The sequence below is a fragment of the Homo sapiens genome, chromosome 2, assembly GCF_000001405.40.
Source record: "Homo sapiens chromosome 2, GRCh38.p14 Primary Assembly".
NCBI classification, from domain to species: Eukaryota; Metazoa; Chordata; class Mammalia; order Primates; family Hominidae; genus Homo; species Homo sapiens.
This window is the reverse complement of record NC_000002.12, coordinates 54,056,151-54,074,449: the sequence shown is the minus strand read 5'-3', so window position 1 is coordinate 54,074,449 and position 18,299 is coordinate 54,056,151. Positions and strand designations below refer to the sequence as shown.

General features: G+C 38.9%; 1 protein-coding gene across 2 annotated transcripts in view, besides 1 other annotated feature; it reads right to left on the bottom strand.

The window, feature by feature from the left end:
* The window catches only part of ACYP2 (acylphosphatase 2), a 334,188-nt gene that overhangs the window by 230,851 nt on the left and 85,038 nt on the right, over positions 1–18,299 (bottom strand). For both annotated transcript variants that reach the window (NM_001320586.2, NM_001320587.2), the window contains one exon: positions 17,090–17,211. In NM_001320586.2, the coding sequence (NP_001307515.1) occupies positions 17,090–17,211 (122 nt within the window). The remainder of the gene's footprint in view (positions 1–17,089; positions 17,212–18,299) is intronic.
* Positions 54–1,253: an enhancer, noted in NCBI's record as "MED14-independent group 3 enhancer chr2:54300334-54301533 (GRCh37/hg19 assembly coordinates)". NCBI's record gives its function as "activates an origin of replication core promoter dependent on BRD2, BRD4, P300/CBP and CDK7 cofactors, and independent of MED14, by STARR-seq in HCT116 cells {active_cell/tissue: HCT116}" and the evidence as "EXISTENCE:reporter gene assay evidence [ECO:0000049][PMID:35650434]".

Below are 18,299 nucleotides of genomic sequence, written 5' to 3'. Positions count from 1 at the left end.
CTTATTTAAAATAAAGTAGAGATGAGGTCTCATTGTATTGTCCAGGTTGGTCTCGAACTCCTGGACTCATGTGATCCTCCCACCTTGGTATTTATTTATTTTTTAGAGATGTGATCTCCCACTGTCACCCAGGCTGGAGTGTAGTGGCCCAATCATAGCTCATTATAACCTTGAATTCCTGGGCTCAAGTGATCCTTCTGCCTCAGCACACTAAGTAGCTAGGACTACAGGTGCACACCACCAAACCCAGCTAATTTTGAAAAATATTTTTTGTAGAAATGGGGGTCTCACTATGTTGGTCAGGCTGATATAAAACTCCTGGCCTTAAGCAATTTCCTCACCTCAGCCTCCAAAAGTGCTGGGATTACAGGTATGAGTCACTGCATCCGGCCTTGTTTTCATTTCTTTTAGGTATATACCTAGCAGTGGAATTGCTGAGTCATATGGCAACTCTATGTTAAACTTCTTGAGGAACTGCCAGACTGTTTCCAAAGAATTTGCACTATTTTTCATTCCCACCATTATTATATGCAGGTTCCAATGTCTCCACATCCATGCCAACACTTGTTATTTTCCATCATTTTCATTTTAGCCATTCTAGTAGGTATGAAGTGGTATCTCTTTGTAGTTTTGATTATTTTTCTAATAATGAATGACATCAGACATCAAGCAACTTTTCATGTGCTTATTGGCCATTTGTAAATCTTCTTTGAAGAAATCTTTGTTCAGACCTTTTGCCCATTTTTTAATCATTGTCTTTATTTTTGAGTTGTAATAGTTATTTACATATTCTAGGTATAAGTTCCTTATCAGATATAAGGTTTGCAAAAATTTTCTCCCCTTCTATGAGTTGCCTTTTCACTTTCTTGATGGTGGTGTCTTTTGAAACACAAAAATTTTAAATGTTCACAAAATCCAATTTATTTACTTTTTCCTTTTGTTGCTTGTGTTTTTGGTGTCAAACCCAAGAAAGCATTGCCTTTCCAAAGTCATAAAGAGTTACATCTATGTTTTCTTCCAAGAGTTTTGTACTTCTAGCTCTGGTAGTTAGGTCTTTGATCCATTTTGAGTTAATTTTTTTTTTTTCCTTAGGTATGGTCTCCCTACATTGCCCAGGCTGGACTCAAACTCCTGGGCTCAAGAGATCTTCCCACCTCAGCCTCCCAAGTAGCTGGGACTACAGGCATGCACTACCACACCTGGCTCATTTTGATTTATTCTTACATATGGTGTGAAGTCAGAGTCCGCCTTCATTCATTTGTATGTAGATACCCAGTTGTCCCAGCACCATTTTGCTGAAAAGACTATTCTTTTCCCATTGAATTGTCTTAGCGCCGTTGTCAAAAAATCAATTGACTGTAAATATAAGAGTTTATTTCTGAACTCTCAATTCTAGTCTACTGATCATAAGTCTAGCCTTTTGTCAGTACCACACTCACTTGATTAATGTACCTTTGTAGTAAGTCTTGAAATTAGGAAGTGTGAGTCTTTCTACTTTGTTCTTTCTCAAGATTGTTTGAGTACCTTGCATTTCCATATGAATTTAGAATCAGCTTAAATTTTCCACTTTTAAAAAAGGTAGCTGGGGGCTGGGCTTGGCAGCTCACGTCTGTAATCCTAGCACTTTGGGAGGCTGAGGCAGGCAGATCATTTGAGGTCAGGAGTTCAAGACCAGCCTGGCCAACATGGTGAAACCCTGTCTCCACTAAAAATACAAAAATTAGCCTGGCACAGTGGCACGTGCCTGTAGTCCCAGCTACTCAGGAGCCTGAGGCACAAGAATTGCTTAAGCCCAGGGGGCAGAGGTTGCAGTGAGCCAAGCCTGTGCTACTGCACTCCAGCCTGGGCAACAGAGTGAGGCTCTGTCAAAAAAAAAAAAAAAAGAAGAAAGAAAATAATGAAGGAAGGAAGGAAGGAAAGAAAGAAAGAAGAAAGAAAGAGAGAGAGAGAGAAAGAAAGAAAAAAGAAAGAAAGAAAGAAAAAGAAAGAAAGAAAGAATTTCAAAAGGTAGCTGGATTCTAGAGACTGAGGTGGGAAGATCACTAGAGCTGGAGTGGTGAAGACTGCAGTGAACTGTGATTATGCCACTGCACTCCAGCCTGGGTATAGAGTGAGACCCTGTCACAAAAATAAAATAAAATAAATAAAATAAGGCAGCTAGGATTTTGATTGGAATAGCATTGAATCTGTAGATTAATTTGGAAAATATTACCATCTTAATGTTAAGTCTTCTAATTCATGAACATGGGATGTCTTTCCATTTATTTAGATCTTCTTTAATTTCTTTCAACAATATTTGATAGTTTTCAGATTACAGGTTTGCACTTATTTTAATTCACTCCTAAGTATTTTAATTCCTTTTGATCCTTTGCATATGTAACTGTTTCCTTTACACCATTTTCACTTTATTTATTTATTTGTATTTGTATATATTTTTTTGAGACAGAGTCTCGCTCTGTCTCCCAGGCTGGAGTGCAGTGGTGCGATCTCAGCTCACTGCAACCTCCGCCTCCTGGGTTCAAATGATTCTCCTGCCTCAGCCTCCTAAGTAGCTGGGATTACAGGTGCGCGCCACCATGCCCACCTAAGTTTTGTATTTTTAGTACAGATGGGGTTTTGTCATGTTGACCAGGCTGGTCTCGAACTCCTGACCTCAGGTGATCCACCCACCTTGGCCTACCAAAGTGCTGGGATTACAGGCATGAGCCACCACACCCGGCCTAACGTCATTTTTAAATTGTTCATTGGAGTATACAGAAATACAATTGATCTTAGACCAACCTGGGCAACATGGTGAAACCCTGTCTTGTCAAAAAATTATCTGGGTGTGGTGGTGCACACCTGTAGTCTCAGCTACTCAGAAGGCCGAGGTGGCAGAATTACCTAAGCCTGGGAAGTCAAGGCTGCAGTGAGCTATGACCATACTACTGCACTCTCACCTGTGCGACAGAGCGAGACCCAGTCTCAAAAAAAAAAGACAGAAAAGAAAAACACAATTGATCTTGTATGCTGCAACCTTGCCAAACTTGTTTATTAGCTCTAAGAGTTTTTGTAGATTCCTTTGTATTTTGTACACACAAGATTGTGCCATTTGTAAGCAGAGATAGTTTTACTCCTTCCTTTCCAATCTGGATGTTTCATTTCTTTTTCTTACATCATTGTCCTGGCTAGAATCTGTAGTGCAGTGTTGAATAGAAGCCGTGAGAGCAAATATCCTTGTCTTATTCCTAATCTTAGGAGGAAAGCTTTCAGCCTTTCACTATTAAGCGTGATGTTATCTGTGGGTTTTTTGTAGATGTTTTTCTCTAAGTTGAGAAAATTCCCTTCTATTCCTAATTTATTGCATGCTATTATCATGAAAGGGTGTTTGGATTAGTCAAATAAAGAAAAGCTTTTGAGGCCGGGTGCAGTGTCTTATGCCTGTAATCCCAGCACTTTGGGAGGCCAAGGCAGGCAGACTGCTTGAGCTCAGAAGTTTGAGACCAACCTGGGCAACATGATGAAACTCTGTCTCTGAAAAAAACAAACAAACAAACAAACAAACAAACAAATAGCTGGGTGTGGTGGCACATACCTATAGAGCTACCAGGCAGGCTGAGGTGGGAGGATCACTTGAGCCTGGGTGTTGGAGACTGCAGTGAGCCATAATCGTGCCACTGCACTCCAGCCTGGGTGACAGAGCTGAGACCCTGCCCCCACCAAAAAAAAAAAAAAAAATGGAATAGCTTTTGAAAATAATGTGAATTATATTTTATTTTCATTTAGATATCACTTAAAATTAGAGCATAGCTTACAAAGTAACTAGAGTTGTTAAGAAGGGTTTCCCTGGAACACAGAGGGCTGAATTGGTGCAGTGATCACCAATTCTGGAATATGTGTTAAATAACTCTGGGGTTGAGGATTCATAAAAGAGCTAAGTAAGTGGGGAAAAATCTCACCTATAGAAGCACAGTAAACAATGCAGAGGAACGGCAGATAGTGTGCTCTGGTTAGGTGTAAAATTCATCCTCATGAAACCACTTAACCAGCATTTGACTTCAATGTAAATCACTGGAATGATTTAACATGAATAAGAATTTCAGAATCCTTATTATAAGCCATTTTGTCAATTATGACTGGACACCTGCAGAGCAGATTCCACATGTATTTTTTCTTTCTTTCTTTTTTTTTTTTTTTTTTGAGATGGACTTTTGCTCTTGTTGTCCAGGCTGGAGTGCAATGGCACAATCTTGGCTCACCACAACCTCCAACTCTCAGGTTCAAGAGATTCTCCTGCCTCAGCCTCCTGAATAGCTGGGATTACAGGCATGTGCCACCATGCCCAACTAATTTTGTATTTTTAGTAGAGACGAGGTTTTTCCATGTTGGTCAGGCTGGTCTTGAACTCCTGACCTCAGGTGATCTGCCCACCTTGGCCTCCCAAAGCGCTGGGATTACAGGCATGAGCCACTGAGCCTGGCCCAAATGTATTTTTTCTTAAGAAGTAAAACATCTTGAGATTTAACTTATGCCAGAGAAGTATTCTGGGTTAAATATTCCCAGCACAATATCTTCTCTCTTTCATTAAAATCTGCATATTTTAGTGACTAATGTTTTTAAACACATATAACTTGCTAACTACAATTATGTCAATTACATAGCTAAATTCAAAAACTTAGTGGCCAACTAGCATATTCATCAGCTGGTCACCCTCAATGTGTTCAAAATATGGTAGCATCATGTGAATCTTTCCATTCATTCTGTATTTTGCTTTGTTTTGTTTTTGTTTTTTTTGTTTTTTGTTTTTTTGAGACGGAGTCTTGCTCTGTCACCCAGGCTGGAGTGCAGTGGCGCAATCTTGGCTCACTGCAAGCTCCGCCTCCCGGGTTCATGCCATCCTCCTGCCTCAGCCTCCCGAGTAGCTAGGACTACAGGCGCCCGCCACCACGCCCGGCTAATTTTTTGTATTTTTAGTAGAGACAGGGTTTCACCGTGTTAGCAAAGATGGTCTTGATCTCCTAACCTCGTGATCCACCCGCCTCGGCCTCCCAAAGTGCTGGGATTACAGGCATGAGCCACCGTGCCCAGCCTGTATTTTGCTTTGTTTTAGCAGTGGGAGATGTTTATGCAAGTTCTTGGGAAAGTAGGGGGTGAGAAATTTCAGGCAAATTATCCCCATATATATGACAAAACTGAATCACATTACCTTCTGGTTTGGTTATATAAAAATCCTCCTTCCTGGCTGGGTGCTGTGGCTGACACCTGTAATCCCAGCACTTCGGGAGGCCTGGGCAGGCGGATTGTTTGAGGCCAGGAGTTTGAGACCAGACTGGGCAACAAAGTGAGACCTCATCTCTACAAAAAATGTTTAAAAAAATTAGTTGGGTGTGGTGGTGCCACATGTAGTCCCAGCTACTCAAGAGGATGAGGTGGAAGGATTTGCTTGAGCCTAGGAGCTTGAAGCTACAGTGAGCTGTGATTGCACCACTGCACTCCAGCCGGGGCGACAGAGAGAGACCCTGCCTTAAAAATAAAGTTAAATAAAATAAATTAAAAATGAAAATAAAATTAAGTAATTAATTTAATTTAATGAAAAGATGAAATTTCATTATACCACCTAAAATTGCTGTACCAACAGCCATTGCTTCTCCTTCAAACACAGGCTGTTTGAGAAGAATGCAGCCTCCTTCTCAAACAGCCTGTGTAAGATTATATTCTCATTCACAACTAAATGGTATATTAGCTAAGATGCTTTTGGGCGCATGTAGCAGAAAACAACTCATGTTACCTTTAGCAAAAACAAAAAGAGAGACTTTATTATGAGGACACAGACATCTCATAATATCCAACAACAGAAATTCGAACAGGCTGGAGGGAAGAACTGAAAAACCATCAGAGCCCAAGCAGTTCTCTTTGGACCTAGTTTATGCTTCTCCTTCTACAGAATACCTGTTTCTTCTTAATCCACATGAGTCGAAAGCAATGGCCATCCCACAGCTTCTGAGTTTACATACATATCATAGCCAGACTGATTTTCTTTATTCCCTCTCAAGTCCTAAGAGAAAATTTCATTGGCCCAGTTTGGATCAGATGCCTACCTGTGACCAGAGGTGGACATCCTGCTACCTGCAATCCAGCCCTGAGGCCCAGGAAGTATTCAACGGGTCTTTTATAAGGTAGATCTTTTATAAGGTAGGAAGATATACTAAAGAGTGCGTACAACAAATGGATAGGACTGTACAAACCCAGTTCCTCTCTCAAATTCAACAAAAACATGAGTCATCCCTTCTCTCCTGGGATGAACCAACTAAAGGCACAGAGAAAATCCCAAGAGCATTAGAGAATCAATCTCCCTCCACACAGAAATATCAGATCTAGTGTAAGAATAAGCTAAGCTGGCTTATCAGTGACCCACTCCAACTGGACGACTGCCATGACAAAATACACCTGTAAAGTCAAACGCCACATTAAACAATGTGTGTTCATTCTCCTTCCCTCAATGTTTTGCTTAAATCTTATGGGTTATGCAAGCAGAGCTAAAAAATATTTTATGCGTAAGATAACCAAAGCATTTAGGCTAATAATAAAGCAATTTGTGCTTATAGCCTTTATTTGGAAAAGGCAAATGATTTAAATGTTAACTTTAAGGAGTCACTGAACTGATAATTATCTATTGTTTTGTTATGTTTTACTTTCCCCTACAGGTTTGCTAGTCTTTGGATATATTAGTAAGTGTGGGACATCTTGCATAGGAAAAAAAAAGTTACTTTTAGATATAAATTCAAAGTTGAGATGTTTAAAAAATAATTTTAGGTACAGTTACCACAGATTTTCCCCTTACAGATGAATAATTTGCTAGACTGAGTTCTAGGAATACCTAAAACTCATCTTTTTCCCTAGCAGATAACAATTCATGTTAAGTAGGCACTGTCTCTAAATATATTCTCCTAGTCTCATCTTTCAACATTATCTGCTAAATTTAACTACAGATCCTTAAGTTACATTTTTTTCCATAAATGGTGTTAAGCAAAGGTATTTTAATGTGGGAAGAACATAGTGCAAGGTAGAAATAATCTTGATTTTATTTCTGATGCTCTCGTTGACAATGGAAAACTTATTTCGCCTTCTTCTTCTGTAAATTTTATACAATGACAATGCTTTACAGCTTTGTGGTAAGAAAAAAATATGAAGATGTAGCAAATATAAAAATTGCTATGATGGCTGACACTGTTGTTGGTGATCTTGCTCTGCTTATAGGAACACAGACATTTTACTTAGACTTAACTTTCAGAAATTCAACCTTTAGAGTCTCAAGTAAGTTAACAATAATATCTGCATTTGTATAATGCTTTACAGCTTATAAATAATTTCTGTAAATGTTATTCATTTATTCCACATAAATGTTACATGACAAAAGTGTTACCATCAGAGGAGACAGAGGCTCTGACATGTCAACTGATCTGCCCAAGTTGACACAAATAGTAGTAAAATTCAGATTCAAATCTCAGATTCAAACTCCATCTGTTGACTCTAGCTCCAGCATTTTCCCTTATTTGTAGTGGAGCTACTCTAATGTTTTTAAAAGCTTCTGATCCTTTTTCTCATCCTAATTTATAATATAGGAGTCAAGTGGAGAAATTCACCAGAGTTTGGCCACCATGTCTGGATAGGTCAGAGATCCTGATGGCTTCTTTTAGCCACTTAAATTTTAAATTCCTTTAACTACTTCTTTAACTCCTCACCCTACTTATTTGTTATTTGCCTATGCTTTTGTCCCTATTAAATAGAGATGTCTTCAATTTCAAAATAATGGAATACATCCTGGATTGATACCAGTCGAGGGAACACATAATAAGGGAAAGGAACAAATGATAAATCAGATGATTTTATGGCACATTGGTTTGGCATAGGACTAGTAACACATGGCTGGGTTCAAATTCAGATTGCTAAATGTGAACCTCAATTTCCTTATTGGAAAATGAGGTCAGCAATATCTATTTCATACGGTTGAAGCGTGCACTAGTTTGTTTTCACACTGCTATAAAGAACTACTTAAGACTGGGTAATTTATAAAGGAAACAGGTTTAATTGACTCACAGTTCTGCATGTCTGGCGAGGCCTCAAGAAACTTACAATCATGGCAGAAGGCGAAGGGGAAGCAAGGCATGTCTTAAATGGTGGCAGGAGAGAGGAGAGGAGGATCCACCACGCACTTCTAAACCATCAGATCACGTGAAAACTCCCTCACTATCATGGGAACAGCATGAGGAAAACTGCCGCCATGATCCAATCACTTCCCACCAGGTCCCTCCCTCAACACATGGGGATTACAATTCCAGATGAGATTTGGGTGGAGACACAGAGTCAAACCATATCAGAGTGAGAGTCGAATAAACACATGGGGTATGGAGGGATGTGTGGTGTGTGTATAAATACATATTTATTAGTGGTTGGAAGAGTGATTGGTACAAAATAAGTGCACAACAAATAAAAATTGCATGACTTCAGTTGGAGAAATTTGTAAATAAGTCATGTTTGAAAGAAGAGGCTCTGAACACCGGTAAGCAGCACGTATTAGTTTTACAATTTCCTCTTGTTCCATCTTGTAAGTGCTGATGATAGTGGACTTTAGGCAAGAATCTATTCAGCTGAGCATGCATAAACACAGCCCAGAGGACATTTAAACAATGCTCTTAAATAGAAAGCAAAATGTAGAGTTTCCTCATGAATGAGATGCTTCATATCACTTTCCGGCTACAGCCTGTTAAACATTTTATTCACCAATATGTGTAAGGAGCAAAGCCCATGCGTGACAGATGGCAACCCAATTCTGGCTTCTCTAAAATGGCTTTCCACTTACTCACACCAGCCCAGGGATCTGTTGAATCAAGCACTGCAGATGAAGCCTCAGCTCTGAATACTATTTCACAGTGTGACTCAGAGACCAACTGCATTTTCCCTGATCAGGGATAGCCAAGCATTGAAACATGGTCTGAATTCAGAGTCTGGATCTAAAGAAAATGTACATACAATTGGTCATCCAACTCCAACAAGTTTATGTATGTATATAAAAGCATAGGAGAATAGAAAAATCATTTTGATCAGCCATTAAATTATCGATAGCAATCAGGATTTAAACAAAGTACCTGGGCCTCCTATAGTCAACATCCAATTCAAACAGCAAAAATCTAAGGACTAACCTTGATGCCTCTCTTTTCCTTAACTTTCCTCACATCCAGTAATAACGATTTCAAATGTTAAATAACCCTTAAATCCAGGCAATTCTCTGTGTTACCACTGCAACTCCTACTCTAAGCCAACATCATCTATCCCTTGGTCCCTCTATATTTATTTATTTATTTATTTATTTATTTATTTATTTATTTAGAGATGGAGTCTCACTCTGTCACCCAGGCTGGAGTGCAGTGGCATGATCTCGGCTCAGTGCAAACTTCGCCTCCTGGGTTCAAGCAATACTCCTGCCTCAGCCTCCCGAGTACCTGGGATTACAGGCCTGTGCCACCACACCTGGCTAATTTTTGTATTTTTAGTAGAGACGGGGTTTCACCATGTTGGTCAGGCTGGTCTCAAACTCCTGACTTTGTGATCCGCCCGCTTCGGCCTCCCAAAGTGCTGGGATTACAGGCGTGAGCCACCGTGCTGGCGGTCCCCCTATATTTAATCTGACCCTCCTTAATGCAGTCTGAAAGAGCTCTTCCAAATGCAAACTTGGTCCTGTCACTGCCTCCGCATCATTCTTGCAGCTTAAAGCCTTAAATGTCTTCCCTTTGTACTTATAATTAAGATTAAAACACTTAGCATGATCTATAAGGTACAGTGTTTTTAGTTACCACGGTGTACAACTAAGTACACTCAGGGCTCTTAGTTACTAAAAGCAGACGTGGACTCTGGCTAATTTAAAAAGCAAAGAAATGTATTAAAAAGATATTACCACTAGGAAGAAATGAAATCTGGCCCATTCAGACAAGAAAGAAATTTATAAAAGATATGGCCCCCAGCAGCTAAGTAAATGGTTGCCACAGCTTGCACTGCCAACACCCTGGAAACCACTGCCAGAGCCACTGCCACACCTGCCAAGGCCAGAGGAGAAGCCCTCACTGTTCTGCTTCTGGCTCCCGACCCAGATACTGGCTGGGTGGTGTTGACTGGCTGAGACTAGGTCCTGCACCCACACCTAACCACCTGGGAGCTGAGCTTCTATAATGGGAAGGCAGTGGGCCTCCTGCCAAGACCCCTAAAGTAGGGAATTCCCCATACTCAAGAAGGGGTTTCAAAAAATGCTGAGCAGCCAAAAAAAAAGAGGCCTGGTGTGGTGGCTCATTCCTTCATAGTCCCTGCACTTTGGGAGGCCAAGGCAGGAGGACCACTTGAGCCCAAGTTCAAGACTAACAAGGGCAACAATAGCGAGACCCCGTCTCAAAAAAGAAAAAGAGAGGAAAAGAAAAGAAAAAGAAAAGCATCCACTGCATCCTATAAACCTTTGCCTCCCCCTTCAACACCATCTCACCCCTCCTTCTCTACGCTCCAGCTACACTGTCCTTCCTTCAAATATTTCCCCTGAAGAGCTCTTGCCTCTGCCTAGAATGCCCCTTTCACCACCACCAGCCCCACCCTCTCTGGTCCAGGCTCGTGTCAGGGTCCTGGCAGGAAAAAGATGGCACACCCATGGGTGAGTTCCAGGAGGGAACCATTTACAAAGGTATGAGCATAGTTAAAGGAAGCCAACTAGCTATAGTGAAACATTCTGAACTAGCAACAGCAGGAATCCTTTAACACCCCCTCATCTAAAGGAATAAGTGGACAGTTGGTTCCCAGAACCTAGAAAGAATAGCTGTGGCCTTCAGCAGAGAAATTAAGTTAATCTATAGTCTGGCTGGAAAGGGGAGTAAATTGCCTGATTTCTCTCTGTTCCCACCACCCAGTCTCCTGCTGATGCCTCTCCTGGGTCAAACCCAGCCTGAGGCCAGAGGGACAGGTTGCTTGTTGATGCAGACCACAGAGGCCGCCTCCTGGAGCACACAGCAGGGTCGAGAAAGATGGAGGGTGGATCTAAAAGGGCTAATGGAAAAAAATCCAGTGTCTTTTATTTTAGGATATTTTCCCTAACAGCACCTAACTCTATATGTATCTATATTATCATAAGTGGCTTAATAATTATTATTATGGCCAGGTGCAGTGGCTCACACCTGTAATCTCAACACTTTGGGAGGTGGAGGCAGCCAAATCGCTTGAACCCAGGAATTCAAGACCAGCCTGGGCAACACAGTGAGACCCTGACTCTATTTTTTAAAGAGAATAAATAAATAAAATAAATTATTATTATTATTTTCTATCTTCCCCACTGGATTGTAATTTCCTCAAGGTCAGAGATTGAGTCTATCTGTGCTTACCATTGTTCCCCAGGAACTCCCCAGGAACTAGCGTAGTACCTGACACACAGATGGGCTTCAGTCAATAGTCGAATTAATGAAGGTATCTGAATATGGGATATTGTGCTTTAAATAGTCGAATTCTTAAGCCTTTAATAACTAGAACAGAGAAGTCATGTCTGTCTACTTCCTTGCCAGCCAGGCTGTTTTCCTGTTTTTTCTTTTTTGTTCATCCAATAAAATGTGCTTCAACTGCAAAATCTCTGTGACCTTGCCTAAAGTGAGCTAAAATTCTACGAGTTTACTTTTATTTTGCCCAAAATTTATCTTGCTAAGTTAACTTTTCTAGGTAATTTGTTGAGAGCTCATTCTATGGTATACATGTAGAAAGCTAACTTAATCAGGCTTCATGATAACCAGAAAGTCTAAACCATAATGCACAGCAGACATTCCAGTTTAAAACTCTTTGCCTTTGTGCTATATTAAAATGTGCCTTGAAACAGGCATGATGCCATATGATGAATAACATATGGTACATGACAGTCCCTATTCATATGGAAAATATGTTAATGATATCCTATATAGGAAGTAAAAGTGGAACCAGATTTATTTTTCTATATAGGTTGATCTGGTCTCAGCAACTAAAAATACTTATTTTCAATGTCACAGTGGAAATGAGATGGAGGCTGAATAGAGATGGCTGGTATGTGAGGTCACTTACAAAATAATCTACCAGATAAAAACAGGTGTATGATTGGGGAGGTCAGACTCAAAGTAATGTTGAGGGCAAATAGGAGATGTTTAGAGAAGCCCCTGAGCCGTAGCAAGGGAGTCGTTCAAGCCCAAGCTCTACCCCAGGTCCAGAGAACCCATGCCTTCCTGTGAGAAACAGACTCTGTAACCCCCAGATGTTACTCCCTCAAGCCTTGTGGAATGTGCTTATTTTTTCTGGCTAGAGCTCTATGAGACCCAATGCCCCCTTTTAATAACAATAGTTTGTAATATCTCCTTTACTTTCCTGAAATGGAATTCAGAGGCAATGCAACTTACGCAAAACACTTTAAAGCCAATATAATGATCTAACTATGTAAGATATTAATAAAATACATTTACAGGCCTGGCACAGTTGTTCACATCTGTAATCTGCGCCCTGTTAAGTTTTTATTTTTTATAGAGGCAGGGTCTCATTACGTTGCCTAGGGTAGTCACAAACTCTTGGGCTCAAGCAATCCTCCCACCTTGCCCTCTCAAAATGACGGGACTACAGCCTTGAGCCACCATGTCCAGACCAGACCTTGATTTTATAGTTCTGACATCCAGAATTATAAGAAAATAAATGTGTTGTATTACATCACTCTGCTTGTGGCCATTTGTTACAGCAGCTGTAGGAAACTAACATGCATGGTAACTGATTATTTTCTAAGCCTGATTCTAAAACCTTCTCATAAATTTCATGAACTAACCAATAGGCTCCCATTAAAACCCTTTTATGCTAAAGCCAATCAGAGTTGGTTTCTAGTATGTCCAACAAAGGACCCAGGCTGGTACAATTATAGACCAGCCCTCTAAGGTTCACCAGTAAGAAAACAACATCATCAGCAACTTTAGTCTCTGTTCAGGAGTCATACTCCCATGAGAGTGAAACTAATTTTCCAGATTAGAGCACGTGTCCACCTCTGTGGTCAGAGGGCTGATGTCTGGTGGGCAGCCCCACCAGAACCACACAAATTGGGGAAGGGGAAGTTTGCTCAAAGTAATGAATTAAGTGTTTTTACCAGGAAGGAGGAAAATAACCCCAGCAAGTCAAAACCAACATATTTTTAATAATGTAATATTTCTAAGACATAAAAGTCATCTTCATATCCAAAAGTTGGATTGCCAAAATAAAAAACCAATAAGGAACTTCCAGCTAAATATGGCAGATTGGCCAGACATGGTGGCTTGTGCCTGTAATCCCAGCACTTTGGGAGGCCAAGGCATGAGGATCACTTGAGCCCACAAGTTCAAGACCAAGCCTGGGTAATATAGGGAGACCATGCCTCTATGAAAAAATAATTAATTAATTAAAATATATATGGCAGATAAATTAAATGTGTTTGTCTTCTCTTTTTTTCTGAAATTTCATCTAAAAATGGTATAAAACATAAGGGCAGGTAGGAAATGAATATCAGCAGACAAAAAAAAACAAGTATTTGAAAGCTAGGATACAAATGAAAGAATGGTAAATAACGTTACCAAGCAAAAGAAGCTAAAATCTGTTTTCAAAGCAGTGGATCCCAAGAAGCAGCCAAGCACTTTACTCTGCAGGCATTCAAAAAGGCTGAGGACTTAGAAGCATTTGAGAACATCCTGTGCATAAAAAGCAGCATTTCATGCCTTATGACTACACATGGGTGGCTAGAGAATCTGATAAAATTCTATCATACCAAAATAAAATGTATTTGGGCAAATAAATTAGTAGAACCTACTTACCTCTGCAGAAAATTAATAAATTAGGTTATTAAAAGTAGAAATAGATAACTAAGATTATAAGATATTTGAGGAAAGCCTCCAACCTCAACAATAAATCCCAGAAGAAACAAAGACAGTAAAAGGAACAAAACAAAACTTTACTAAAATTATAATTGAATCATTGGAGAGATCAAAAAACATTATATCCATAAAAGAAGATGATTATTTTTTAAAAAGGAATAATCAGAACAAGAATAAGTTTATAGAAATTAAAAATATGGCCATGAAACAAAAAAAGTCAATAAAAGTATTAGAAGATAAAAGCAAACGAATCTAGAAAGTAAACTCAAAAGATAAAAAAGATAGCCAAAAAGAGAGAAAAAAATAAGATGCTTAAATATTCATTCCAGGATGTGCAACATCTGACTCATAGGATTTTCAGAAAAAGAAAACAGAGAGATGAATAAACTGATGGGAAGAAATCCTCAAATAAATCCAAGAAGAAAATATCCCAGAGTTGAAGTAATTCAATTTAGACATACAATTTCAGATTGGAAGGTCCCATTAAGTGCTCAGCCCAATGAATTAAAAAAGACTTACACCAAGTCACAGTATGGAATTTCAGGAAACTAAGAAAAAACTTGGAATTGCTAGAGGACTGGGGATGGGAGGCAAGCACATTAAAAGAATGTGGAATCAGAATGGGCATCAAACTTGCTGGTAGCAACTGAGTTCAGAAGACAATGAAGCAATCCTTTCCCAGTTCTAACAGGAAGTTATTTTCATCCTAGAACTCTATTCATATCCTTAAGTAACAAACAACTGTGCAGGTAAACATACAAGGCATCCATGCACTCTTGCTCACCCTACTGAAGGATGAGTCCCAGCACAATTGTTACCAATGGAGTGACCTAACCAAAATAAAACAAAACAAAAGAAATGGAAGATGGAAAACAGGGAATGTCCTGGGATGACAATCAAGACAGCAACCAGTCCAGACAGGATCAGGAAGACAGAGACCACAAATAGATTATCTGAAATGTTGAATGTAGTATTAGTCAGCATCTGAAAATCTAACGAAACATTTGGTTGAATTGATAGAAAAATAATAAGATGCTCGCCGTGCATGGTGGCTGACACCTGTAATCCCAGCACTTTGGGAGGCCAAAAAGGGTGGATCACCTGAGGTCACGACCAGCCTGGCCAACATGGTGAAACCCTATCTCTACTAAAAATACAAAAAATTAGCCAGGCATGGTTGCAGGCGCCTGTAATCCCAGCTTTTCCAGAGGCTGAGTCAGGAGAATCACTTGAACCTGGGAGGTGGAGGTTGCAGTGGGCCAAGATTGAGCCATTGCACTCCAGCCCGGGCAACAAGAGCAAAATTCCAACTCAAAAGAAAAAAAAGAAAAAGAAAAAGAAAGAAAGAAAGAAAAATGATAAGATGGAAAGCTAGGCAATTCTTAACTCAAAAGAAAGAAAACAAAAGGTTGTGATACAGCAGGAACATCACCATCTTGGACAAACCCCTCATTCTAAAGTTCACCTTAATAAAAAACTGCCTAAATCCAAAGGGCATCAGCCTAATGGCTTAGGCCAGCATGACCATAAACCACAAATAACATCTCCAACCAGAAACTTTCCAAACCCCTCCGTGACCAGAGACATGCTAGCCATGAGATAACCCACCTCCAGTGGGGAAGATACCAGCCTTGAGATAACCCCCATCTGGGTGGAAAGATGTCTGCCCCAAGATAAACATCCCTCCTCCCAGAGACATTCCAACCCCACCATAAAACTTCTCCCTCACACAGAAACATTCCAAGCTTATAATAAGCCCCTTCACCCTAAGACCAATATATACTCCAATATATAGTCTGTAAGAGAAAGTGCTCCTGACCAAAAAAAAAAAAAAAAAAATTATCAGCCAGAAGCCCCTCTCATGTTTTATCTAAAGTAAACCTGTCTTAACTGCCAAGCCACATTTTGTGTTTCTTTCCTCTTTCTTTAACTCTTACAGGTGGTACAATGAAGGATAAGTAGTCAAAGTACAATACTTGGGTTACCAATGACCAACACTGACATCATAATGTAAATACTCGATATTGAATTAACTAGAAATGAAGTTAGAATTATATTAGAATGACAGGAGAGGGAAATATGTGTGTGTCAGGGGTTAATAGATAATATCTAAAATTTGTAAATGAAGACATAGGTGTATAATGATAGGCATTTTATATCAGGAAAAACTACTGAAGATTTAAAAGCCCCTGGGAAGCACAGCTGAGGGGAGGGAGAAGGTACTGCTTTTTTTTTTTTTAATATAAGCTTTGTAGTACTATTTAATATTGTATATAGCTTTGTACTACTTTGATAAAACAAACTGATAACCCTGCCCCCAAAAAGAACCAATGAGAATAAGTCCAGAGCTTATTCACATTTTAGCTTGTATCATGCGTTAACACCAACACTCCATTTAATGTGAATTATCTTCAAAGACCCAATATTTACTAAATTTAGGAAGAGACCAATCATTGCTTCATATGCCCTACCTCCCTCAGGGACCAATACTTGAATTTTCAAAGCATTATTCACAAAGGGAAAAATATTTTCTCCTATTTTCTATGTGTGATAAGTGAATATCCCAAAGCATGAAATATGAATTTAAAATATTTGTTTTCCAAATGTTCATTGATTCTTTACATTTACTACACCACATCTGTTTGGCATTTAATAACCAAATCAAAAGCCTCTCTTCCTCTGCTCTGCCTTAGCCACTCAATCCCCTCTCAAATGGTGACCTCATTACATCACCCAGGGCCTTCCCTGCTTTGACTCCTCATTTGAGTAATTCCCACATTCACCTTACAAACTGCCAAATATTCAGTATCCTATAAACAACAGTATTATATATATTTTTGCTAACAACATATATATACACACATATATATATAAAACAGTAAAGAAGTGTATAAATTCAGAACCTATTAATCTAGAGTAAACAAATTTAGTATGCTTCTAATAAAACGTACTTCTCTGGTAGACAGAACAGTCTGTCAGTGCTTACATGACTGTAAAAAACTATCTTTGAATTGAATCAATCAAACATAGACTCAATATTCGTTTCTTTTACATGGGCACTTTTTCCCTCAAAATGTCTCTAACAGATAAGTTCTGCCATCCTGAGGCTAATTTTATATACCAAAATGTTCTGATGAACTGTAAAAGGTAGATATTCATTAAAATCAGTATTTATTTTGAAGACTTACTTAAGCAAATTGTTGATTTTATGAAAGTAGTTGATGAGCAAGAAATGTTCTCCTTCCATGGTTCTTCACTCACAATTATGACTTGACCAAAACCAAACTCTGATAATTGTATGAATTTATAGCTGGAAACAAAATATGTGAGAACAGTAAGAAAAAGTTCATCACCAAGAAACCCCAAGGGCAGGTTGCATAGTTATGTCATGAAATCAGTCAATCTAGACAATCTAATTTATGGTTCAAGTCAAAATTCATATCCCTTCCCTATCAACCCAAATATTGAAAGGGAAAACACACTAGAAAGCTATTTTATCTGAATTATTGGGATAATAGCTATAATTTTCACATAGTTTTGCAAATGGAATTAATGTTTTGGTGTGAGCAAGATATTGATAAACTATTTGTCATATCAGTTAGATATATTAAACATATATAATGAATAAATGAAATAAAAAGCATTTGTCTTACACAAATAATTAAGTTCCTTTAAGTTCTTTTTAAAAGTATTTTTTTCTGATTTTAGATTTACAGAAAATTCATTATATTCTTAATATAGGAATCAACAGGTAATATAGTAGAAAGCTATTAAAGTACAGGTGACAAATGGCAAATAAAATACAGATGACATACACAACATGCAATATAGTTACTATTTTCTGAATAAAAAATCTGGACCAAGATAAGCCCTTCCATGGGAAAAATAAATAATTTGAAAACAGAACTATCTTAGAAAATCCAGAATGTGTCATGATTGAAAATATACATCATTATAAATGCAAAGAAAGATATCATTCATTTAAAGAATACAAAGAGGTTCCATTTGATACTTATTTTACCATCTAGAATTCAACTGCACATTCTGAGCAAAAATATCTTTAAAAAAGAAATGGAAATAAAAGCAGTACAGGGTATTATGCTTCTGTTAAACTCAGTGAGCATGTGCCCTTGCCAATGGATATGATCAAACCTAAATCAGTCAAGGGATGTTGACAACCTGTGGAAAGAACATATGATTTTATTTGAATTGTATCCTGGACGATGGGCAAATATGTCAGAAACTGCCCATGTCACCAGGCCGTGAATGGTGATATCTTCTTTGCTGCCTATCAGTTCAGTAGATAAGCAGATAAACTTAGGGTGTCCTGCTTGGGTGACACCCTGATTAGTTCCACCAGTGCCTGGTTCCACTCATGAATCCTCCTCAAGCTGGTGG